The sequence below is a fragment of the Homo sapiens genome, chromosome 16 (assembly GCF_000001405.40).
Source record: "Homo sapiens chromosome 16, GRCh38.p14 Primary Assembly".
Taxonomy (NCBI): Eukaryota; Metazoa; Chordata; class Mammalia; order Primates; family Hominidae; genus Homo; species Homo sapiens.
The window spans coordinates 81,847,696-81,872,849 of NC_000016.10; the positions used below are offsets into that span (position 1 = coordinate 81,847,696).

Here is a 25,154-nt window from a genome sequence, read left to right on the forward strand (position 1 = left end):
CATGGACAAACTTTTTTGTTGTCATTATTCCCTGAGCAATACAGTATAATTATTTACATAACATTTACATTGTATTAGGTATTAAAAGTAATCTAGGGATTTAAGGTATATGGAGGGATGTGCATAGGCTGTATGCAAATTCTCTGCCATTTTTTATCAGAGGCTTGAGCATCTATTTGGATTTTGGTATCTGTGGAAGATCCTGGAACCGATCCCCAACAGTCACTGAGGGATGACTGTATATCTTATTAAAAGTCACAATATTACAGAATCCCAGCAAGTTATTCTGTGGGTAGTGACAAAGTGATTCCAAAGGTTATATGGAAAGGTGGAAGACATAGACTAGCAAACACAGCATTGTAGAACGAAATCAGAGGACTGCAAGACTTACTCTAACGTTCCAGTAATCAGTACAGGTGATGTTGGCAGAAGAATAGAAAGATTAGTAGAACAGGATCAAGAGCGCAGAAATAGACCCACACAAATATCATCAACTGATCTTTGACAAAGGGGCAGAGGCCACTCAGTGGAGAAAGGATAATCATTTCAGAAGTATGATGAATAAGCTAATACTTGTCTTGGGAAGAAGCAAGAGAGGGGTGTTCAGGATGATAAAGTCCTGGTTGATGAAGGCAGATGCCTGCAGCTCTTTCCTGGGGCAGGGCTGGCTTCCAAAGGGTGCTTGTTTGGGCCCTTTGGAAGGGGGTGTGCGGATGTGCAGGGCTGCTTGTATCATTAGAATGGCTGTTAGAATTTCATTCTTTCTTTCTTACCATGCTCTGTCTCTCTGCCTTTGTACATGTGCGTTTGCATTTCTCTCCCTCCTTGTCTGGGTAACCTGTGCTTTTCTGTACCTGGTCTCTCTGTCCCTCTCTGTCTCCCTTGGTCTCCCTTGTCTCCTCCTCTGTCCTTCTTCCTCTCTGTCCCCTGCTCTGCTCAGTCATCAGTAATTTGATCCCTCTTGAGGTCCCCATTTCTCTCTGTCCCTTTCCTCTTTCCAAGAACTACTTATTGGGCCCCGCTGTGTGCCAGCTACTCTGATAGGGGTGGAGCTCAGTGGTGAAGAAGGGTGTACAATCCCTGCGTGTATGGAGCTTACAGTCTAGGAAAGGAGGGCTGTGGATCCACAGATTCCATCTAATACATATTTGCCTCTGTTGAGTGCTGTGGAAGAGAGGTGCTTGGTATAGATCATAGCAGGCATTGGGAGGTTTTCTGAGTTTGGTTTGATTGAGCTGAGACTGGAAGGGAGAGCTTGGCACTAACCAGACTAAGAACATTTTCAGTGGTGCCAACAACACCACTAATGTCCTATGGTAGGAATGAGTGTGACCTATAAGAGATGCTTGGAGGGGCCTGTGTGGGTGGTGCAAGGGCTGGGAGGCAGATGCTTAGGCCACGTGGGGTTGGAGGGGTCATCACAGGGCTGTGGTTCTTAGTCCTTACAGCAATGGGACGTCACGGGAAGGCTTGATCCCAAGGAGTGGCATGAGCCTGTTTGTATTTCGTAAGGTGACTGTGGGGATAACGTACTGCTTTAAGGAGACAAGTCAGGAAGCTGCCTCCATAGACAAGAGATAATGGTGGCTTGGATTGTGGTGTTGGCCATGGAAATGGATAGACGTTGACAGATTCCAGAGCAATTTCAGAAGTAGAATTGTTAAAATCTGGCTATTGCTGGAAGACAATGTTACCTTGTCTAAAAAAGTTTTTCTTTAGTTATGTATAATTTTTCTGTAAGGACAGATGCTCACCATAGGCCAGTTCAAAGATCCCCTCTTGGCTGGGCGTGGTAGCTTATGCGTGTAATCTCTGTACTTTGGAAGGCCGAGACAGGCGGATCACCTGAGGTCAGGAGTTCGAGACAAGCCTGACCTATATGGTGAAACCCTGTCTCTACTAGAAATACACATACACACACACAAATTTTCCAGGTCTGGTGGCGGATGCCTGTAATCCCAGCTACTCGGGAGGCTGAGGCAGGAGAATCACTTGAACCCAGGAGGCGGAGGTTGCACTGAGCCAAGATTGTGCCACTGCACTCCAGCCTGGGCAACAAGAGCAAAACTCTGTCTCAAAAAAAAAAAAAAAAAAAAAAAAAACCAAAAAAATTCCCTCTTGAAGACATTTTACTGGGAAAGAGAATTGTTAGACTAGACAGAAAGAGAAAAGAATGTTTGCTTAAAGTCACTAGACTTTCACTGGCAGTCAACTGGGTGGGTGAATAACTAACTTTGGAAAACAAACCTTAATACCTTTCAAGTTTTTAGATAATTGCTAAAGCAGTTATATCAGCCATGTTGATTTCCTCTAAAAATGAATTCCAGTGCCTAGTGTCTTTAAAAAGTCAAAGGCACAAGAGAAAACAAAAGTAAACAAGGAGACTCCGTAGGATTGAAGATGTAATGACATAATGAGATAAGATGTATGCATTTTATTTGTCTTCAAGTCTACTGTAAAAAGATTTGGAGAAAACTGGGGAAATTTAAATACAGATGAGGTGTTAGGTTATGTTATGTAATTATCATCAGTTTTGTTAGGTGTAAGGTTTTATGGTTCTATAAGAAAGTGTGCTCATTTTTTTGAGATAAATTAAGTATTTTGGGGTGCAACATCATGAAGTCTGTAAAAGTACTCAAGCTTCCCCCAGATAAATGAAACAAACAAACAAAAAAGTTTCAGTGCACGAAAAGGATCTTTCTGTTTGTTTGTTTTTGAGGAGTGAAGATAAAGAGAAGAGATAAGGAAGACTCAGATTTCTGGTTTGGGTGAAGAGTGGCGACATGTCCATCTTTTACTGACCGTGCGTTCTTGGGCTCTCAGTGTGATAGAAATTGACAAGAGGTCCAAAGAGTTTTCCCAGACAAGGCTTTATTGGAGCTTATGCCCAGGCATAAGAGAAGCAGCACAAGAGAAAGAGAATTCTCTTCCTGGCTCCCCGAAGACAGTCAGGAGAGGAATTTTAAAGGGGCTAAAGTAGGCAGGGAGTGATATTTAAGCATGTAGAAGCGGGGAACTTCTGGCACCTGCACAGTGTAACAGCATAGAGAGCTTCTTCCTGTGTTGCATATCTCATTAGCGTGTTAAATCCCCACCCCTAGGCATGATGTTTAGTATTATAATGCAGCCAAGGTGGAGGACTGGTCATTCTTCAGATCTCCTGCACATGCGGGCAATAGGGTTAACTCCCTTGAGTAAGATTTAAGATGGGGCCCGCTTATTTTTGTTTCCTCGAGGTCTGCAATCAGTGGGAATGGCCCTTTGAACAAGATTTATAGTGCAAGGTCTGGATGGGGTCCCCACTTGTTATGGGTCCCCCCAGCCAGCTTGTAGTAGAAGTCCTCAGTGGGGTGTGACGGGGGATGAGTCCTTTCTCTACTTTCTCTCACCTTCATCCCTAATACTCTACCCCACAAGGTTTAGAGATACCACCCCCCTAATAATAGGGCCACCCATAATTGAGAAGTGTCTTTAGTTACTTTTTATTTTGAAATAATTTTAGACTCTTGTGGACCTGGCAAAAATAGTACAGTTTCTGTGAACCATTCATTTAGCTGCTCCAGTGATAACATCTTTCATAACCATAGTTATCAAAACCTGGACATGGTCGCTGGTGCAGTGCTATTAATGAAACTGCAGATCTTAATTGGTTTTCACCATTTTTTACATACACTCCGTTTTCTTGTTATTTTGCATTTGTTTTGGTGTGTAGTTCTACGAAATCTTGTCACGTGTAGGTGGGTATGTCTACCACCGTACATGCACAGGATGTAGATGACGTGCTGTTTTTTTACTCTTTTCACATGGCCTTTTTGTTGTTGTTGTTGTTGTTGTTGAGGCGAAGTCTCACTCTGTCACCCAGGCTGGAGTGCAGTGGCGTGGTCTCGGCTCCCTGCAACCTCCGCCTCCCGAGTTCAGGCGATTCTTCTGCCTCATCCTCCCAAGTAGCTGGTACAACTGGCCTGTGCCACCAAGCCCAGCTACTTTTTGTATTCTTACTAGAGATGGGGTTTCACCTTGTTGGCCAGGCTGGTCTCGAATTCCTGACCTCAAGTGATCTGCCCGCCTTGGCCTCCCAAAGTGCTGGGATTACAGGCGTGGGCCACCAGTGCCCGGCTTGTTTTCACATGGCTTTTGCCCACTGAGCTGTTTCTAATTGAGCTAGACCCACGGTAAGAACTCAGAAAGCTTTGAGTGCATCCCATCCCCTCTCCTCTAACTTAATTGTCTGCTCTCCTCCTCTAGCTCCCATTGTTGCCTGTGAATGGCCACGAACCTCTCCTGTGTTTCACTATGACTCTAAGATGCCTTTGCTCACCTCTGGACTTCGTTCTGTCCTCTTCCTTAATTCCAGGCCACAGCCACCTCTTCTTGCTGCAAAGCTGAGATCTCCTTTCTCACTCTCATCTCCAGGAGTGCTGGAGTTCAAAGGTACACCAGGGTTTGATAACACTTTCTTCCATGGTAGACAAGGTGGTCCCTGCCACTCCCAGGCTCATGTTTTACCAGCTTGGGAGCAGCCGTGGAGGGGAGGTTTTACCAGTAGTCCTGGCCAAATAAGTCCCAGGAGGATGCTGATGGTGCAGCTGGGCCATGTGTCTGTCCCCGAACCAGTCACTGAGCCAGGGCACTTGGGTCATTCCCTGGCCCCTGCTGTCGCCTTCAGCTTGTGGTTGAAGGTGGTGGGGGTGAATCAGCTCTATCTAAAGCACATGGAATGGGTGCATCCCATGAAAAGATGATTGTTGTTGTAGTTTTTCAGAAGAAAGGGAAAGAAGGGACTGGTTGAGCTTGTTGAGCTTGTGTCTCTGTGCCAGTCCAGAGTTCACTGGTCATCTTGTAGGGGGAAGGAGGAGTCACCTTTGAGTCAGTCAGGTTGCTATCCTTGCCTGGTAGGTTTTGACCAGGAGTAGATGGAGTCACATGGCAGCAGAAGTTGCAGAACGGAAGGATTTCTTACTTGTTTCTGTTATCTATTGCTATACAACAAACTATCCCAGTGTTTAGTGGCTTAAGACAACAATCATTTTATTTATTGCACATATTTCTACAATCTGGGCATGGGTGGGGACTGGGAGAGCTTGTCTGTGTTCCACATGTTGTCAGCTGGGGCAGCTCACTGGGGCCAGAGGATCCACTTCTAAGATGGTCCAGTGCTCTGTGGCTGTTGGCTGGGGGCTCAGCTGGGCTGTTGGCTGAGGGCATTGATTCTTCTTCCATGGCCTCTCCATAGGGCTAACTTGGGCTTCTTACAGCATGGTGGTCTCCAGGTAGTCTGACTTCTTACACAGAGGCTGGCTTCCCCCAGAGCACAAAATGGAAGGTACCAGGCCTTCTTAAGTATTAGGCCCCAGGCTGGGCCCGCTGGCTCACGCCTGTAATCCTAGCACTTTGGGAGGCTGAGGTGGGCAGATCACTTGAGGTCAGGAATTCAAGACCAGCCTGGCCAACATGATGAAACCCCATCTCTACTAAAAATACAAAAACTAGCCGGGCATGGTGGCACATGCCTGTAATCCCAGCTACTCCTGAGGCTCAGGCAGGATAATTGTTTGAACCTGGGAGGCAGACGTTGCAGTGAGCTGAGATCATGCCACTGCACTCCAGACTGGGTGACAGAGTGAGATTCTGTCTCAAAAAAAAAAAACAAAACAACAAAAAAAAACCATTAGACCCTGAACTGGTACAGCATCATTTATGCCAGCGTGCCAGTGCTCCTAACCTTTTTGGTACCAGTGACCAGTTTCATAGAAGACAGTTTTTCCACAGATGGTGGGGGCAGTGGGGGGATTGCTTTAGGATAAAACTGTTCTACTTCAGATCATCAGGCATTAGATTCCAATAAGGACCACACAACCTGGATCCCTCGCATGCGTAGTTCACCGTAGGGTTTGCGCCCCTATGAGAATCTGATGCCGCTGCTGATCTGACAGTTGGTGGAGCTCAGATAATAGTGCTTACTTGCCGGTACCAGTCCATGGCCTGGGGGTTGGGGAATCCCTGATTTATACTACATTTTATTGGTTAAAACAGGTCACAGAGACAACCTGGATTGAAGGGCAGCTGGCTATATAAGGCATAAATACTGGAGGCTGTGGCCCATTAGTAACAGTCCATTACTCTGGACTGTTACCAGAGTCATAGTTTACCACTCTCTTCTCACAGGCCCTGTGATATCCAGAACCCCTGTTACCATCCCCAACGCTGGGGTTGGCCTCTTATTATTATTTTTAATTTGAATCAGTTAGTGCCTTCATTTCCTCTTCCCCCTTTAATTGAGCCACAGAGCATTTGTAGCTTTTGGGACTCAAGGGAAAAGGTCATCAAGGTCAAGGTCAACCGGACAGTTGACCTTTAGGCTGCCTAGAGTGATCTCTAGTGAGCATCAATTTGGTCTCTTGTTTTTTTTTGGTAGAATAGTCTGTGCTTATTTCCTGAAATCTCAGTTGCATTACAAAAATTAATTGTCCTAGTTTAAAATGTGTCTGTCTGAGAAACAGGGTGAGCGGAAACCCCAAACTCTTCAGACTCCAGGGGTTTGTGGGGTGGCAGCAAATGCCCGGGTAGGGTCTTAGCCCTTTGTCCATTTCCAGAAGGAGGGGACACTGAGTCCAGACGCAGAGATAGCTTTGCGGGATCCTGTTGGGGAAGGAAGGAGCCAGGCTGTGCCTGGGCTGCAGTTGTGTGGCTGCATCCTCAGGTGGAGGGAACTCCAGCTTCTAATTGGCTCATGTTAATTTCATTTTAGTGGATATCATGGAAATAAAAGAAATCCGCCCAGGGAAGAACTCCAAAGATTTCGAGCGAGCAAAAGCAGTTCGCCAGAAAGAAGACTGCTGCTTCACCATCCTATATGGCACTCAGTTCGTCCTCAGCACGCTCAGCTTGGCAGGTAGGTGCATGTTTCTGTGCCTTTCTCCTTCCCTGTGCCTTAGTGTCTTCCTGAAGAAGTTCGCTAATAGCAGAATGCTCACCCCTGCCTGCTCACTGATGTGTATTTGGGGTCATGGTTTTGAATCCCAGCCCTGCCCCTTTCTAGCTGTGTGTCTTTAGGTGAGTGACTTAACCTCTCTGAGCTGCAGTTTGCTCAGCTGTGAAATGGGGAGAATAATAATGCCTATTTCATGGGGGTATTGTGAGGAGTATGTTAAGTGTCTCTCTGGCTCATGCTGAGAGCTGAATAAGTGATGATTAGATAGTTTTAACACTGAAGGCCAGGCTCTGTTGGATGAAAAATGTACGCTGGGCTCATCCCTGTAATCCCAGCACTTTGGGAGCCTGAGGCGGGCAGATCACTTGAGGTCAGGAGTTTGAGACCAGCATGGCCAACATGGTGAAACCCTGTCTCTACTAAAAATACAAAAACTAGCTGGGTGTGGTGGTGCGCACCTGTAGTCACAGCTATTTGAAAGGCTGAGGCACAAGAATTGCTTGAACCAGTGAGCCAAGATTGCATCACTCCCCTACAGTCTGGGTGACAGAGCAAGACTCTGTCTCAAAAAAAAAAAAAAAAGAGAAGAAAAAGAAAAATGTAACCTGTTTTCTTCCAGCAGATGTGGCTCAGCAAATCTGATTGATCTGAAGGAACTGTCCTGAGATCTTCTGTTGCACACACACATGCACTTTCCTCACTTTACTCAGGGGCAGAAGCTTGTATCTACTTTCAAGTTCAGTCCTAGAATTTATTGACTTAGAAGTATATGTATATTAATTAAGAAAATAAATACGATTAAAATAGACCAAAGTGGGTGAGGCAGCTGTCAAAGTTGAGCAATATAGGGACATTTACTTTTCGGTCAAATAACTTATTAATTTCTCATTCATTCTTTTACTACATGTCTTTTGAGCCTATACTCTGTGTTAGGTTGTGTACATGCCAGTGAGCTAGGAAGATGAATGGGACCTGGTGCCGCCTTTAAGAAGCTCTCAGTCGACTTGGGGAGACAGATGTGTGTACTGGGATAAGACCTAGTGCAAGCATGATACAGTGTGCTGTGAATGTTTAATTCCAGGGAAGCTTGGCAGAGAAGGTGACTTTTACATTGGGTTTTGAGGCTTCAGTAGGAGTTTGGAGGAAAGAGAGGGAGGGTGCTCCAGGGAAAGGCTGTGGTGTGTGCCAGGGCTTGGAGGAGGGAAATAGCATGTCGGATGTAGGAAATGAGGAGCGAATGTCTGACTGATGATATGGAGGGGGAGTTGGTAGAGATGGGGTAGGAGGGCAAGGCCCGTGGCGGTGAAGCTTCACACCTCTGTCTCCTTAGCCCCACCTGCAGGCTGAGCCCTGACCCCCTGTTCTTAATTTGGTAAGGAGACCAGAAGAACCCGGGTCTTGGAAGCCAGGATGTGAACTTTGATATATATCCCACTCTTGGTCCCTCTTCCGGAACCCTAAATTCAAGGTCAGCACAGTGATGGTCAAGATTTTGATTCACATTCCATCTTCTCACTTACTGGCTCTGAGACAAACTCAGCCCTTCAGAGCCTCAGTTTCCTCCGCATCTGTGTGGGAAGATGAGAGCAGCAGTCTCTGCCATGGGTGTACGGACTGATAAAGTACCTGGTGCTTAAGGAGAGGCTTCATAGTTCCATGAGGTGTTTGCACTGTTAGCTTCATTTTACAGGTGAGATGAGGCACAGAGTAGGGTTAAGTAACCTCCTGAATGTTACACAGCCCTGAAGTGGTGCAGTGGGACTTGAGCTATGATCTTCCTTTTGCCAGATGCCAAGCTCTTAACCACTCCTCAATGCCGCTTATTAACAAGGGTAATAGCAACCATGGGTATTAGCAAGCCATACTCTCCTGGGTATTAGCAAGCTCTACTTGCTGTCCCTCTGTGCCATCTTGATTAGAAGCAGGGGAGATACTGACAGCTGCTTAGGGTTGTGGTGCAGATTATTCCAGATTCTGCATTTTATTAGTTAGCATAGGGTTAAAAGCTAACACTCTTTAATAAAACAAAAAGCTAAATCCCTAAGCCAGTGGTACTCATCCATGGGAAGCTGAATACTGCCCTCCCACGATGCCCATGTCCTAATCCCGGGAACTTGTGAATATATTATCCTCTATGGAAAAGGAGACTTGGCGGGTGTGGTTAAATTGAGGATCTTGAGATGGGAAATATCCTGGACTATCTGGGTGTCTAGTGGAATCACAAGGGTTCTTAGATACCCGGGAAGGTCATTCCCAGAGAAAGAGATGTGAGGATGGAAACAAAGGTCAGCAGATGAGAGGCCATGAGCTAAGGAATGTAGGCAGCCTCCAGAAGCTGGGAAAGGTGAGTAAACAGATTCTTCCCCAGAGCTTTCAGAAGGAATTCAGAGATCTCATGCAACCAGTCTATTTTAGACTTCTGGCCTCTCTAACAGTCTGAAAATAAATCTATATTACTTTAAGTCACTAAGTTTGTGGTCATTTGTTATAGCAGCAGAGGAGACTGATGACTGAACCTTTGATATACTTTGGCACCAGGCAGGTGTTTCCACCTGTTGATGTCTCCGTCATCCCTCTCTTCTGGTTTAATTACTTTAGGGTGGGACCTAAGTATTGGGGTTTTGAAAAGCCTTCAAGTGATTCTCCTGAGCAGCTGGGGTTGAGAAACTCTGCTCTGGAGTTGGACACCTGGGTTTGAATTCCTCAGCTTTTTCATCCCTGGAGTCAGTGTGCTGCCAGGGTAAGATAATGGATTCTTGTTTAAAATCCTGTATCTTCCACTGTCTCAGTGTGCTCTGGCTACTGTAATGAAATGCTGTAGACTGGGGGTTTAAACATCAGGCATTTATTTTCTCACAATTCTGGGGGCTGGGAATGCCAAGATCAAGATGCTGGATGGTTGAGTTCTGGTGAGGGCTCTCTTCCTGACTTGCAGACAGCTGCCTTCTTGCCATGTGCTCACATGGCTTTTCCTCAGGGTGTGCTTGGATAGAGAGGGAGCTCTAGTCTCTCTTTCTCTTCTCTAAAAAGGCATTAATCCCCTCATGGAGGCCCCACTCTCATTACTTCATCTAAACCTAAATACCTCACAAAGGCCCTACCTCAGGGGTTAGAGATTCAACATATGAATTCGGAAGGAATGCAAATATTCAGTCTGTAATGGCTGCTATGAGCTGTGTGGCCTTGGACACATGACTGAACCTGTCTTAGGTTCAGTGGTTTCTCCATGTGTTAAATGGGAATATAATAGTACTTCCCTTGTGGGATCAATATAGGAAAAACACTTAGAACAATGTCTAGTATATATATGTAGTTAGTGCTCAAATGATGTTAACAATGTCATAGTGATAGTTCCCACCACTCCCTCCATTCTTAGCTGATTCCATTTGGCACAGGAAATAACCCACTTGTCATCCCTGTGGTACAAAGCTCATCATGAATGTGTGGCCCCATCTCAGACAAAAAGCAGGTCCTAGGGCCATGACGGTGTGAAAGGGGATGCTTTCTTTGCCTTCTGCAAAACTAGAAACCAGCATAGGCTTCTCCCATCTTCGTGATCTGTATGGGGCAGGGCTTTGTAAGCAGACGTCTTCCCAGGAATTAACACAGCATTTCTGTTCCCTTTCTCCACTCCAGCTGACTCTAAAGAGGATGCAGTTAACTGGCTCTCTGGCTTGAAAATCTTACACCAGGAAGCGATGAATGCGTCCACGCCCACCATTATCGAGAGGTAGTTGGCTTTTGCCTGTTGATTTGCGTAGTTGCTGATTCCTTTATTCTGCTGCCTTTAGCCAACATGGGCTACAGGGGGGAAAAAAAAAAAAAGGGACATTGGTTTTTTGAGGCTCGTTGAGTGTCTTGTATGCAATGGGTGCCTAGTAGCGGTGTGGGCTCTACAGTTTTTCAAATAAGAGCATTTCCCTGTGCTAGTTTTCAGCGTTGGCCTATTGGAGTGAGTGGTGCATTGGACTCGAGATAGAAACATTCCTGGGGTATGTGCTGGGGGAAAACAGGGCTTCCTTCTTAAAGGATTTAATAAGAGATTCAGTGGACTGATCAAAGGACAGATACAGGGTCTGGAATTTTCCACCTATCACTCCCTCCTGGGTTGATGAAGACCTCAAGACTGTCTCTTCAGTGTCATGGGAGTCTAGATGGGCATTGGGGTGTGAGTTATTTTCCTTCCACTAAATCAAAGTCCTCTACTTTTTACTATTTTTCTTTCTAGCTTTTTGGGGATTAAATGACTATCATCAGAAGGAATTGACAATGTAAAGAAACCTGGCCTTTTTGAGTTGAAATCTTGGCTTAGATAGGCCTTTTCCACACTAGGAGGAAACTGCTTCCCAAGCTGCCCTTGTTAGAAAGTTGGAAGACTCCTCCTTTTGGTTCCAGTTCCTTTTGTGCACATTCCGTAGGACTCACTTAGACTTGTGCTATTTTCTAATTTTCTCTTTCTCTCTTTCTTTTGTCTCATATTTCTTTCCAGTTGGCTGAGAAAGCAGATATATTCTGTGGATCAAACCAGAAGAAACAGGTAAGAGTCATTCAGTTTTTTTCTGATCACTTTGGATTTCGATCCTCATTCTATCTTTAAACCTTCCAAGGGGGTGGGAGCATGACTTGTCGGGAGCAAGGTCCTCACTGCGTCCATTGTGATCTGCGGATGCCATGTTGGGTCCTGGGGTTGAGGATGACAAAATCCTCCTCCTGGAGGGAGCCTCTATTCCGCAGAAAATTCAAGTACAGCCTCAGAGATGATCTCTGCCATGGGGCATTTGGACCTCATCACAAATATTTGAGCACCTTTAAAGTCCTGGTAATACAGCAGTAACCACACTCCTGATGGCACCAGCCCATGCTTTGTGACAGGAGAGAGATTGATTGACCGTGAAGAAGTAAACCAGGTGGTTCTTTTTTTTTTTTGAGACGGAGTCTCGCTCTTTCGCCCAGGCTGGAGTGCAGTGGCATGATCTCAGCTCACTGCGAGCTCCGCCTCCTGGGTTCATGCCATTCTCCTGCCTCAGCCTCCCAAGTACCTAGGACTACAGGCACCCGCCACCATGCCCGGCTAATTTTTTTTGTATTTTTAGTAGAGACAGGGTTTCACCATGTTCGGCAGGATGGTCTTGAACTCCTGACCTTGTGATCCGCCCACCTTGGCCTCCCAAAGTCCTGGGATTACAGGCATGAGCCACCGCGCCCGGCCACCAGGTGGTTCTAAGGGCTGGTAGAGATGTGTTGGGTGATGTGATAACGTATATTCAGTTTACTTGACTTTTTCACTTAAAAGTACCTCTTGGAGAAGCTCCCTATCAGTCCTGCACAAAGCTCTATGACGGACTATTATTATTATTTTTTAGAGGCAGGGTCTCTGTCTGTTGCCCAGACTGGAGGGCAGTGGCACAGTCATAGCTCGCTGCAGCCGTAAAGTCCTGGGCTCAAACGATCCTCCCGCCTCAGCCTCCTGAGTAGCTGGGAACTACAGGTGTGTTTCACCATGCCTGGCTTATTTACTATTATTATTATTATTATTATTATTATTATTTTTTTTTTTTTTTGTAAAGGTGAAGTCTTACCCAGACATTTTTTTTTAAAAAAAGCAAACGCAGTTTTGGTTTTTCTTTAGATTAATGCATTGTCATTTCGGAAATCATTTCCGTGTTGATGCACAGAGCGCTGCTCCCAATCCTTTATCATTACTGTGATTAATGCTGCTGTGGAAACCTTTGGGTCTATCTTTCTGTAAACTCATTTGAGGGAGCTGTGAGTGGGGTAAATTCTCAGAAACGAATACCAGCAGCACAGCGTTTGCTGGTCTAATAGTTTGATAGCGAGAGGTAGCAATTTGTATAATATTTCTACCAGTGGGGCAAGAGGGCACCCTTTCCTGATGATTTATTGTGCCATTAGACTTTGATCTTTGTTCATCTGCAACCGAGGCAACCAAGTGTTTTTGCTTAAACTTGCTTTCTTTATGGGTGAGGTTGAGCATTTTTAATTCATTATGTTTTTGAGGTATGATTCAGCTCTTGATAATGTAATGATAAAAACTACCATTTGGCCAGGCGCAGTGGTGTACACCTATATTCCCAGCACTTTGGGAGGCAGAGGCAGGCAGATTGCCTGAGCTCAGGAGTTCGAGACCAGCCTGGGCAACACGGTAAAACCCTGTCTCTACTAAAATACAAAAAATTAGCCAGGCATGGTAGCACGCTCCTGTAGTCCCAGCTACTCAGCCTCAGGAGGCTGAGGCAGGAGAATTGCTTGAACCCGGGAGGTGGAGGTTGCAGTGAGCCGAGATCGCGCCACTCTACTGTGGCCTGGGTGACAGAGCAAGACTCCGTCTCAAAAAAGCAAAACAAAACCAACCAAACAAAAAACAACAAAAAAACCCACCACGACAAGAAAAAACCAAAAAAACCAAAACCAAAACCAAAACCAAACCCTACCATTTATTGAACAACCGTGTATTTGGCATGCCAGGGATTGCATTGAGCTCTTCAGTCCTTGTCTCATGTTAGCCTCACGTGAGGCACCTTATTTTTTTGGTAAAATATTCCTTTCATTCATTCTTGATTTATTTATGTCATTATCCTATGTGGATATGTCATTATCCCATCTAGATGTGTCATTATCCTAGTTAATATCCAATAACTAAACTCTGTCAGCTCTCTTATTTTGTTCCTGAAAATCTTTCCATCTTGAAGGTGACTTCGTGTCTGGTCAGTGTCCTCTGTTACTTGTTAGCTTCAGGGTTTGGGTGAGCTTCCCTGGTTTCTTCACATGCCCGATGGGAGGATTTGGAACTATTAACTAGGAAGTGGTTAAAAGTCTAGTAATGTTAGGTCAGCCATTAGCTCACTCCATGTTTTTCTGTCCACCTGCCTTTCTCTCCGTCCTCTTCTTCTCATCCAAAATGCCCTGCCTGCTCCGCCACGCTGGGCCACCCTCTCGTGTTACTGAGGTGGATCAAATGAGGTGCTTGTGTTGGAAGATTTGGTACACACTGGTCTCTTTCAGCCTCGGAGGTGATGCCTCTTCTGACTTTTCTTTCTCTGTGGCTTATGATGATTCATAGCTGAGATTGGCACAGGGCTGAGAGAGGGAGCCACCCTCAGTGCCTCTCTCCACGCGGTGCTGGTATGGTATGGCCAATCTGGCTCTGAAGTCGGCTCTTCGTTTGTGAGGTCAAGAAATGGATACCACCCTCTTGCTCAGGAGGCATTCTGGCAAGTCCTGCATAGAGATCCATCTTCCCATCGGCTGGTCCAGGACCCTCTGCAGAGAGAAACTTTTCTGTTTCTGGACTGAGTTCATCCCTGTGTGCTCACCGGCTTCCTCTCCTCTACCTCCCTCCCAGTGGGCAGAGCCCTGCTCTCTGTCAACATGTGGAAAATCCCACCTTTCCTGTGGTTCTGGGAAGCCTGGAGGGAGCTTTGCAAAAGAAACTTTGACCAAGATGCCAATGAAAGAGCAACTGACTTCTGTCCTGCCAATTTCCCTCCCTTTCCTGTCACCCACGAGACGAATCGTGTTTCCTGAAGGAAAACAAAGGAGCCACAGAGGCAGAGGAAAGACTGAAGGCGAGAGGGGGCAGGCTCAGGGCTGGCCCAGCCCGGGCAATGGACAAGTCTTAGGTGTTTTGCTTGGCCCAAGCACGCTGTTTCATTTTTTGACTTTTCTAGAGGCAAATGGTAGCAGCGGGCATTTGTTTACAGCCTTCTTTGCAGCCGTGGCTGTAATAAGCACTTTACATCCTTAGGATATGCTCTTGGCTGACGGTTGAGCTAGGTGCTCTCAGACACGTTTTCTATGTGAGGACACTGAGGCCCAGAGAGGTTAAGTGACTTGACTAAAGCAGCCCAGGTTGTCAGGGGTGGCACCAGGGTTTGCAGACTTACTTTCCCCACTGGTGTTGCTTTTCCTTTTTTCTTTTTTCTTTTTTTAAATGTGCTACTGGCCGAGCATGGTGGCTGACACCTGTAATCCTAACAGTTTGGGAGGCCAAGGCGGGTGGATCGCTTGAGCTCAGGAGTTGGAGACCAGCTTGGGCAACATGGGGAAACCCTGTCTATACAGAAAGTACAAAAAAGTTAGCTGGGTGTAGTGGTGCACATTTGTAGTCCTGCTACTTGAGAGGCTGAGGTGGGAGGATCATCTGAGCCCAGGGAGGTCAAGGCTGCAGTGAACCATGATTGTGCCACTGAGCTCCAGCCTGGGCAACAGAGTGAGATCCCATCTCAAAAACAAAAACAAAACAAAACAAAACCAAAAACAACGAAAATAAAAACAATTGTGCTGTTGAGAGCTGGGGGAAATGCAGAAATCTTCCCTTCCCCACCCTGACCAATCACCTTATGATTAAAAAAAATTAAAAACAAATGTTAAAATTTGTTTTATTGTGGTAACAACAATGAAACATAGAACAACATTGATCATTTTAACCGTTCTTAGATATGTACTTCTGTGGGATGAAGTATATCATGTTGTCATGCTCCCGTCACCACCATCCATCTCCAGAACTTTTTATCATCTCAAACTGAGGCTCTGCAGCCATTAAGCAGTAACTCCCCATTGATTCTCTCTTTAGCCCCTGGAAATCACCACTCTACTGTCTGTCTCTCTGGATTGGATTGCTCCAGGTACCTCATATAAGTGGACTAGCAGAATATTTGTCCTTTTGTATCTGGCTTATTTCACTTAGTGTAATGTCTCCAAGTTTCATCTGTGTTGTAGCATGTGTTAGAATCTTCTTCCTTTTTAAGGCTGAATAATATTCCATTGTACAGATAGACCACATTTTGCTTATCTACTTCTCCATCGATGGACACTTGAGTTGCTTCCACGTTTTGGCAATTGTGAATAGTGCTGCTGCGAACATGGGTGTACAAATCTGTTTGAGTCTCTGCTTTAAATTCCTCTGTGTATATATCCAGAAGCTGAATTGCTGGATCAGTTGCTGGATTGCTGTGTATATATCCAGAAGCTGAATTGCTGGATTTATTTTGCCGGATTGCTATACTGTTTTCTGTAGCAGCTACACCTTCCCAAGGCAGTGCACAGGTTTCTGTTTTCTTCATATCCTCACCAACACTTACTTCCTTTCCCTCCTCTGCCCTTGCCCCCTTGGCGTATAACATTGGATTTGCATAAGTAGAATGTGCACTTCCCTTTGTCCTTTAGCCCTGGCAGGGACAGAGGAACTACTCTACCAGGAGGTGGCAAAGGGTGAGGGGGTTGCAGGTGGAAGGCAGGTGGGTGAGTCCATTTATCTCATTCAGCGTGAATGCAAATAGGCTTCCTATTTGAGACTCCAGAATGTTAGAGTCACCTGGGGAAGCTTTGGCAGAGCCACGGCAGTAGTGATTCGGGTTTTACTGTTCTGGGCATGGCCTCTGGCGTTGCAAATTTTTTAAATAAGATTCTTCTGTGAAGCTGGGGTTGAAAATTAGGGCTGTCTAGAGGGCAATTTTCAAATCTGAGCATGCACCGGAATCCCCTGGAGGATTTGTGAAAGTGGAGGCTGCTGGGCTCCATCTCACAGTGGCTGATTGAGTAGGTGGTGGGCAGGGCTCAAGAATTTGCATTTCAACCAATCCCCAGGTGATGTAGATGCTGCTGGTCTGGGAGCTACTTAGAGAAGCAGAACTCTGGGGCTGCGCTGTCCAGCAGGGCACCCCTCACCACAGGTGGCCATTTCAACAAAACAAAACAAAATGAAATAAAATACTTAGCTCCTCAGTGGAACTAGCTGCATTTCAGGGGCTCAGCAGCCCCGTGTGGCTAGCAGCTACTACCTCAGACAGCACAGATGTCTCCATCATTGTTGAAAGTTCTGTCAGATGGTGCTGAGGTTTAAATCTCAGATCTCACACTAACTCATTGTGTGAATTGGGGTAAATGATTTAATTTCTGTGGGCCTCAGTTTCCTCATGTGTAAAAGATAAAATAATAGTTCCCGCCTCCCAGGGCAGATGTGAGGCTTCAGGAGTTAATATGTGAAGGGTGCGTGGACCTGCCTGGCTCATGGTAAACACTTGACGAATGTTTCTTATTGCCATTGTTGCTACAAAAGAGCCGGGGGCAGTGGAGGTGCCGGCCCAGCCTCAGCATGGCTGGTAAGTGTCACGGGGCTGCCATCCTTAATGGTTTGGTGATGGCTGCCTGGGTGCGGGAGTTGAAGAACCCTGGGGGCCTCCCGGGCTGAGCAGGGAGGACACTGTGATTGTTCAGTGCTGTCTGCCATGGGAGAGGGAGGGGCTGTTGGTAACTCATTCAGGGAATAGTTGCCGTCCTTCTCCAAAGGGATTCCCTTGTTTCCTAACCCACAGCCCTAGGTTGAGCTCCCAGGAAACATGATCTGAGACGCAGGTTTGTGTGCAGGAGGCTTACTAGGGAGTGCAGGGTCATCACCCTGGGGGAAGGAAGGCAGCTGGAACAGGCAGCTGGGGAGTCACAACCATGGCCTGGGCACACCTGATGGGGAGCTCTGAGCATGGCCTGTGGAGCTGTCCTGAATTGAGACTAGAGGGCCAGGCCTTTGTTCCCTTGCGTGGACTGGGTCAGAGCTGGCTGCCTTGGAAGGGGCTTTGACCTGGGCGAGGCACTCTCTGTAGGGGATGGCAGGTTGCAGAGAGGGGTGAAGCTGAGCCGTTGGCTTCCTCCCCTGCAGCGATGGGGGCTCAGCCTGCCTGTGCTGGTTTTGGTCGGGCTGTGCAGCACGACACACACACATCCAGAGGTGGGAGTGAGGGAGGGGCTCGCCTAGGGAGAAAGCGGGTGAGGCTGTCCCAGAGCTAGGAGCCCAAAGAAGCTCTCAGCCTCCAGTGTTTACATTGTAAGGGGAGGCCTTTGGACCAGGTGGGCTCCCATGTCCCAGGTGCTTGGATGCTCAAGCCCCTGGTTCCTGGGTTTTCTCCACTTGTTCTTGAGCAGCTGCTCTGGCACCCCAGGCCCCTCAGTCTCTCTGTTCCTGGACATGGGATGGTTCCTTTGCCCTGCTGCTGTCTGGGCTCCTGGGGGGCCCTGGCCTCTTCCTTGCTCCCAGGATGGGCTCCACTGGGGCACCAGCATGAGAGGACGCTGGCCTCTCCCTTGCTCCCAGGATGAGCTCCACTGGGGCAGCAGCGTGAGAGGACGCTGGCCTCTCCCTTGCTCCCAGGATGGGCTCCACTGGGCACCAGCATGAGAGGACGCTGGCCTCTCCCTTGCTCCCAGGGTGAGCTCCAACTGGGGCACCAGCATGAGAGGACGCTGGCCTCTCCCTTGCTCCCAGGATGAGCTCCACTGGGGCACCAGCATGAGAGGACGCTGGCCTCTCCCTTTCTCCCAGGATGGGCTCCACTGGGGCACCAGCGTGAGAGGACGCTGGCCTCTCCCTTTCTCCCAGGATGGGCTCCACTGGGGCACCAGCATGAGAGGACGCTGGCCTCTCCCTTGCTCCCAGGATGGGCTCCACTGGGCACCAGCATGAGAGGATGCTGGTCTCTCCCTTGCTCCCAGGGTGAGCTCCAACTGGGGCACCAGCATGAGAGGACGCTGGCCTCTCCCTTGCTCCCAGGATGAGCTCCACTGGGGCACCAGCATGAGAGGACGCTGGCCTCTCCCTTGCTCCCAGGATGAGCTCCACTGGGGCACCAGCATGAGAGGATGCTAGCCTCTCCCTTTCTCCCAGGATGGGCTCCACTGGGGCACCAGCATGAGAGGACGCTGGCCTCTCCCTTGCTCCCAGGTTGAGCTCCACTGGGGCACCAGCATGAGAGGACGCTGGCCTCTCCCTTGCTCCCAGGATGAGCTCCACTGGGGCACCAGCATGAGAGGACGCTAGCCTCTCCCTTTCTCCCAGGATGGTCTCCACTGGGGCACCAGCATGAGAGGACGCTGGCCTCTCCCTTGCTCCCAGGATGAGCTCCACTGGGGCACCAGCATGAGAGGACGTGGCCTCTCCCTTGCTCCCAAGATGAGCTCCACTGGGGCACTAGCATGAGAGGATGCTGGCCTCTCCCTTGCTCCCAGGATGAGCTCCACTGGGGCACCAGCGTGAGAGGACGCTGGCCTCTCCCTTGCTCCCAGGATGGGCTCCACTGGGCACCAGCATGAGAGGACACTGGCCTCTCCCTTGCTCCCAGGATGGGCTCCACTGGGGCACCAGCATGATCTGGCTCCTCTCCCCACGACCCCTCTCGCTGCCGCTCTGGTAGCGCCTGTTCCCACTGCTCCTCCACCTTCATCCTGCCCTGGCCCAGCTGTTCCTTGGACCACTCCCAGGGCTGAGGCAGAAAGGTTCTTGCAAGCCCCTGGGGCAACTTCCCTAGCCTGCTGGCCGCTGTGCCCAGCCAGCCCCAGCTGGCCCAACAGGGACTTTTTCTGCCCTCAAGGTCTGTCTGTGAAAGCCGTGGGTGCTGTCCCTGTGGTACCAGTAAGTGGGTGGGGAGCATCTTGTCATTTGAAGTCTGTGCTGTTACAGAGGCCCTTAGAACCAGAGGAAAGGCTGGAGGTGGGGACACAGGATGGCCAGAGTCACACTGGACCGTCTCCAGGGCAGCGGCTGGGCAGTGACGCGCTACTTCCTTCCGCATGCCACAGCAGAAGCTGGGAGGATGGTACAGGGAAACTAGGTGGTTTTCTCCTGCAAGGTGGGGCGAGCTTCCTCTCTTGACCACTCTGTCTCAGCTCTGCTGGACACTTGGCTCCAGCCAGAAGGGTCTGGATCTCATATTCTTGACCCACCCACCCCACTAATTTCACTTCTCCTTCTTGTGTGAGCTACTCGCTTGGAGGCAGTCAGGTGTGGTCATTATGGGCACACTGGGTTGGAGTTTGAGGCTAGCACAGATAAGGTACCAAACTGATCGGTGCCTCAGTTTCCTCACCTGGAAGATGGAGATGATCATGGTACCTGCCTTGTAAAATTGTTCAAACATCAAACAGGTGAATGTGCATATAAGGCACCACCTAGAACAACACCTGTCACCTGATAAGCACTATTGAAGTTTCAGCTTTTGTTACTATTGTTACTGCTGCTGCTGCTCCTTTTGCCTGGGACGTGTTCTCCCTTGCTTCCCTCCCTTTTCTTTTTTATTTTTGGAGATGGAGTCTTGCTCTGTCACCCAGGCTGGAGTGCAGTGGCGTGATCTCGGCTCACTGCAAGCTCCGCCTCCCGAATTCACGCCATTCTTCTGCCTCAGCCTCCTGAGTAGCTGGGACTACAGGCGCCTGCTACCATGCCTGGCTAATTTTTTTTGTATTTTTAGTAGAGACGGGGTTTCACCGTGTTAGCCAGGATGGTCTCGATCCTCTGACCTCGTGATCCGCCCGCCTCAGCCTCCCAAAGTGCTGGGATTACAGGCGTGAGCCACCACCGTGCCTGGCCCTCGCTTCCCGCTTCAGCTGAACCTCACTATGTGGCTTCGAAGAAACACTCATGCAGATTCCTGTGACCGAGCACTGGAATTTGATTCAAATCCAGGCTCTGCTGCCTGCCATCCAGCTCTAAGCCCTGAGTTGTGTACCCATGTGACACCCCACCCTTGGCTGTTCTGAGCCCTGGGGGTCAACCATGTGTACTTTGCAGAAGGTAGAATCTGGTGAACAATTAGGCAACTTTAATGCCTGGATGACCCCAGGGCAGCCTGGCACACAGTAGGTGCTCATGTAGGCCTTGTTCCTTCCCACTTCCCCTCCCTGGCCCTTAGTGACCTTGCCTTGCTCTGAACCCCAGTGGCATTAAAAGAAACCTTTATTTTTTTACTTATTTTTGGGGGTGCAGGGGGTCCCCACTTACTCTGCATCCCTCTTGTCTCTTCACAGTGTCAGACTAGAGTCAAATTCAGCTGGGTCTTTCCTGGCTGATTCTGCCAAGCCCGTCCTGTGGTTTTGGTTCCTCTGGGTGGCAGGTAGAGTCAGTAGGAGTCTTGTTCATCCATTCATGTGTGTCGCTAATTAGGTGACAAAGCATTTGGCTACATGAAGAGTGTCATAGTTACTCCTGATGTTTACCCAGGCTTCATTGAATTTCTTCACTTTGACATTCAGAGTCCTGGGCAGAAATCACATCATGTCAACACCTATATTGGGCCTTTGGCATTTCTGTGGCATTTTGTATTGAGATTATCTGGTCATTTGACATCATTTTCTGCCCACACTGAATCTCCTGCAAGACCTTCCTCCATGACCATTCCTGAAGGGTGGAGACCAGCCCTTCTCACTGGGACATCACCCTATACTGGGGATCTCCAGTGTAGGTGCCTCCTCATTGGGGCATCACTGTACGCTATAAATCTCTTATGTGACCTATGTCCCTGGACATACCTGAAGGGTGGAGACCAGCCCTCCTTATTGGGGCATCACCCTACCCTGTGAGTCTGCTATGTGACCCATGTCCATGGACATTGCTTGAGCCTTGCTCATTGAAGTGTCACCCTTACCTTGACTCAATGTCTTGTTCCCAGTTAGTGGTCCATAAATAACTGTTGACCAGGCTCTCTCATAGAGGGCTGCCTGAGGTGGGAACTGATGGGAGCAGCTAAATCCTGTGCTGTTGAAAACCCTCAAGGTGACAGAACTGGGTCTCCCTCTTTTGCAGCATCAGTCTCCGAGAGTTGAAGACCATCTTGCCCCTGATCAACTTTAAAGTGAGCAGTGCCAAGTTCCTTAAAGATAAGTTTGTGGTAAGTTTCATGGCTCAGCCTGGGAATTTTATGAATGCGGAGTGACTTAGCCTCTCTCATGAAGCCGTGGCTTGCCTTTGAGTTCCGTGGAATAGTGCACAAGAAAATCCTTTGCCTCCAGAGTACATCTTAGTTCAGACAGAGGGATCATGGACATATCTGAGGACCATCGTCTCAATCCTAGCAGAGAATGTAATCAATAAAGACCATGTTTACTGAGCTCTTGGACTTGGAACATCTACCCTCAGACCTGTTTTCCATTAGTCCAGCTTTCCCTATTTCCCTGACCATACTGCAGCCCATTTTTTCCCTAGTGAAATGAATGCATGTATGTCTTTTGGAAAATATTATGAAAGATTCCTTGTGTAGGGTACCAGGACCGTGGCATTTTGTATGCAAGTCCTGGTAGTGTAGCTGTCAGAGTTGGCTCTTTTTTCTTCTGTTTCTCCAACCATCCATCCTTCCATACATCATTAAATTTATTTTGTTGTGTAATCAAGTTATTGGTGGGTCTGGGCAGTAAAGCCACTCCATGAGTGATGGGATATAGTAGAGCAGGTGAGGCAAGGATGGAGACAATGGGCACCGATTTTTGCTTACAGGGAAATACTCATTCTTCTTAGGAAATGAGCAACCCTGCATCCAAACAGCCCCAGTTGGAGGACTCCAATGCCCATTTTCAATATCAGCTCCATTACAAGGTTCCTCAGTGCAAAAAGCTCATTTCATTTTTGTATTAATGAGCTCCTGGAAAAATTATCCCATTTTATTGCTTATCAAGCATCCTTTGACCTGCCCCCAATATTCCACATTAATCCAATAATAGAAAAAGAGAAAAGGGTAGGTCAGAAGAGGAGAGAGATGGGAGAAGCATTTACCATTGATTGCTACACAGTTGCCATTTAATTCTTTATCAAGTATTTACTGAACCAGGTGTTTTGCAGGTATGTTGTTCACTTTCAGGGAAGCCCTAGGAGCATAGTAGTGGTTCTCCCATTTTACAGGTAAAGAAAACTGAGGGTTTGAAAGGGTCAAGGAAATTGCCCAAAGCCATAAAGCAATTAATTGGAGCTGAGTTCTGTCTGACTCCCAATGCTTTACAAAATGACCTATATGTACGTACTCTACAAATATGTCTGAAGTTGGAAGTCCAAAGAGAGTGTTTTCTGCCCAAAAAAGGAGGAGTTACGCATCATGTCTCTTGGAAACCTGGCTGAGACTCTTCCCTTTTGGGGCTCAAAGGAGGGTCTTACTTGGTAGGTGTCTCTGTGAGTATGTTTTCCCAGACAGGGGGATTAGGGAACGTGTGGAGGGTTTTGATTCAGAGGAATATGAATTTGATTTTAGCCAATGTTGTAGAAAAGCCATGTTAAATAGCATGACTTTTTCCTTTCAAAAGCCATGACACTGAAACAATGTGGTCATAGCTGTCTCTTCAGCATGCCAATAAAATAGCATGCCATTTCTGAAACAAAAATTATTCTATAAATAGCATGGAGCCATTCTTACGGTGGACATCAAAAATCATGTGGTCACTTTTTTCATATTTACAGGAAATAGGAGCACACAAAGATGAGCTCAGCTTTGAACAGTTCCATCTCTTCTATAAAAAACTTATGTTTGAACAGCAAAAATCGGTAAGATGATTCTTGAGCAAGTGATCAAGTGATGTTTCTGTTTTCCATGTATTTCCAAGTCTGGCATGTTCCTAAGAAACCCACAAGAAGTGTTGAATCTCCATTTTAGTCAAGGAAACATAAATGAGAATGATGAAAGCATACCATTTTCATCCATTAGATTGGCAAAATTCTTTAACCATGACAGAGCTGTGGGCAAAATGTAGAGAAATGGTGTTCATATGCCTTCCTGGTGGAAATGCGAATGGCCATAAGTTTGATTGGAATTTGATCTGAGTCTGTTAAAAAAGTGCAACTCACTCTACTGCATTATTTCATTCTGAAAGGAAATTTAGCAAATGGCTGTTATTATTAATAGCCATCTCCAGATTGAGGAATTATATATATGTTTCTTCTTTTTACACGTTTGTTTGTTTGTTTTGAGATAGAGTCTCACTCTGTTGCCCAGGCTGGAGTGCAGTGGTGTGATCTTGGTTCACTGCAACCTTTGCCTCCCGGGTTCAAGCGATTCTTGTGCCTTAGCCTCCCCAGTAGCTGGGATTGCAGACGTGCGCCACCACGCCCAGCTAATTTTGTATTTTTAGTAGAGATGGGGTTTTGCCGCATTGGGTGGGCAGGTCTCGAACTTCTAACCTCAACTGATCGGCCCGCCTCCACTTCCTAAAGTGCTGGGATTACAGGTGTGAGCCACTGTGCCCAGCCCTTTATATACTTTTATTCATATTTTTTATGAGGGCATATTTTTTGATTAAAATAATAGACTATTTAAAAATTAAGAGGGTGTATGTTTTGATCTGACAGTGGCATCCTGGGGACTCTGTTTTATGAAAGGGAAAACATCGGGGCCTGAGAATATATTATCGGATTGTTTATTGCAGCATTACTTATGCTGGCAAAGTACCTGGGCACCATCTGAATGTCTCAATGGAGGAATTGCTGGGTAAATTATGGTCTATCCATATTATGTGACATTATGCAGCTGATTAAGAAGCATGTGTCAGTTCTCTTTCCATTAATCTGAGATGATATTTGTGACATTTTGTGATGAAAGCCAGCAGCAGATTTACATCAGGAGTCAGGTCTGCTATTTTGTTAAAAATCATAGAATACAGGCCAGGTGCAGTGGTTGACGCCTGTAACCCCAGCACTTTGGGAGCCCAGGCGGGTGGATCATTTGAGGTCAGGAGTTTGAGATGAGCCTGGTCAACATGGCAAAACCCCATCTCTACTAAAAATACAAAAATTAGCCAGGCATGGTGGTGTGCACCCGTAATCCCAGCTACTTGGGAGGGTAAGGCAGGAGAATCACTTGAACCTGGGAGGCGGAGGTTGCAGTGAGCCGAGATTGCACTACTGCACTCCAGCCTGGGCAACAGAGTGAGACTCCATCTCAAAACAAACACAAAAACAGAGAATGCAATAATCCTCCTTTTGCTCCTTTTTATGAGCAAGGGGAGAGTATGGAAGAAAGCACCTCACATTTAATGTTGATTTTGTGTGTGTGTGCTGGAAGGGGTTGGGAAGATAGGCAGGAAGGATAGTTACCTTTTCTTTGCACAGCTCATTTTCTGTGATATGTTCCAAGTAACATGTTACCTTTGCAATAAAAAGTTCCATAGAGCATAAAGTTTTAAAATTGAGACTATTCTGTGCGATGCACCTAGCACAGTACCTGGTAGGTGGCACACATTCAATAAGTAGGGGCTGCTGTTGTTGCTGTCAGGAAAGGGCTTTGCAGACTGCAAAAGAGTTCCCAGAGAAAGGTGTGAGGGCTTGGGGAGTACCTGGAACTTGGAGTCAGGTGGCTGTGGTTTCTGCAGTTAGCTGCATGATCTTGGATGAACCACTGACTGCTCCTAGCCTCAGTCTTCTCCTCTGTGCAATGGGAGGTTGGGAGTTGTGAAGACAGGCATT

At 47.3% G+C, this 25,154-nt stretch overlaps 1 protein-coding gene across 4 annotated transcripts in view; it reads left to right on the forward strand.

Annotated features, from left to right (window-relative positions):
* The window catches only part of PLCG2 (phospholipase C gamma 2), a 223,645-nt gene that overhangs the window by 108,655 nt on the left and 89,836 nt on the right, over window positions 1-25,154 (forward strand). For all 4 annotated transcript variants that reach the window (NM_001425751.1, NM_001425749.1, NM_001425750.1 and 1 more), the window contains 5 exons: window positions 6,749-6,892; window positions 10,568-10,661; window positions 11,421-11,468; window positions 21,519-21,603; window positions 23,157-23,240. In NM_001425751.1, coding sequence (NP_001412680.1) covers window positions 6,749-6,892; window positions 10,568-10,661; window positions 11,421-11,468; window positions 21,519-21,603; window positions 23,157-23,240 — 455 coding nt within the window. The remainder of the gene's footprint in view (window positions 1-6,748; window positions 6,893-10,567; window positions 10,662-11,420; window positions 11,469-21,518; window positions 21,604-23,156; window positions 23,241-25,154) is intronic.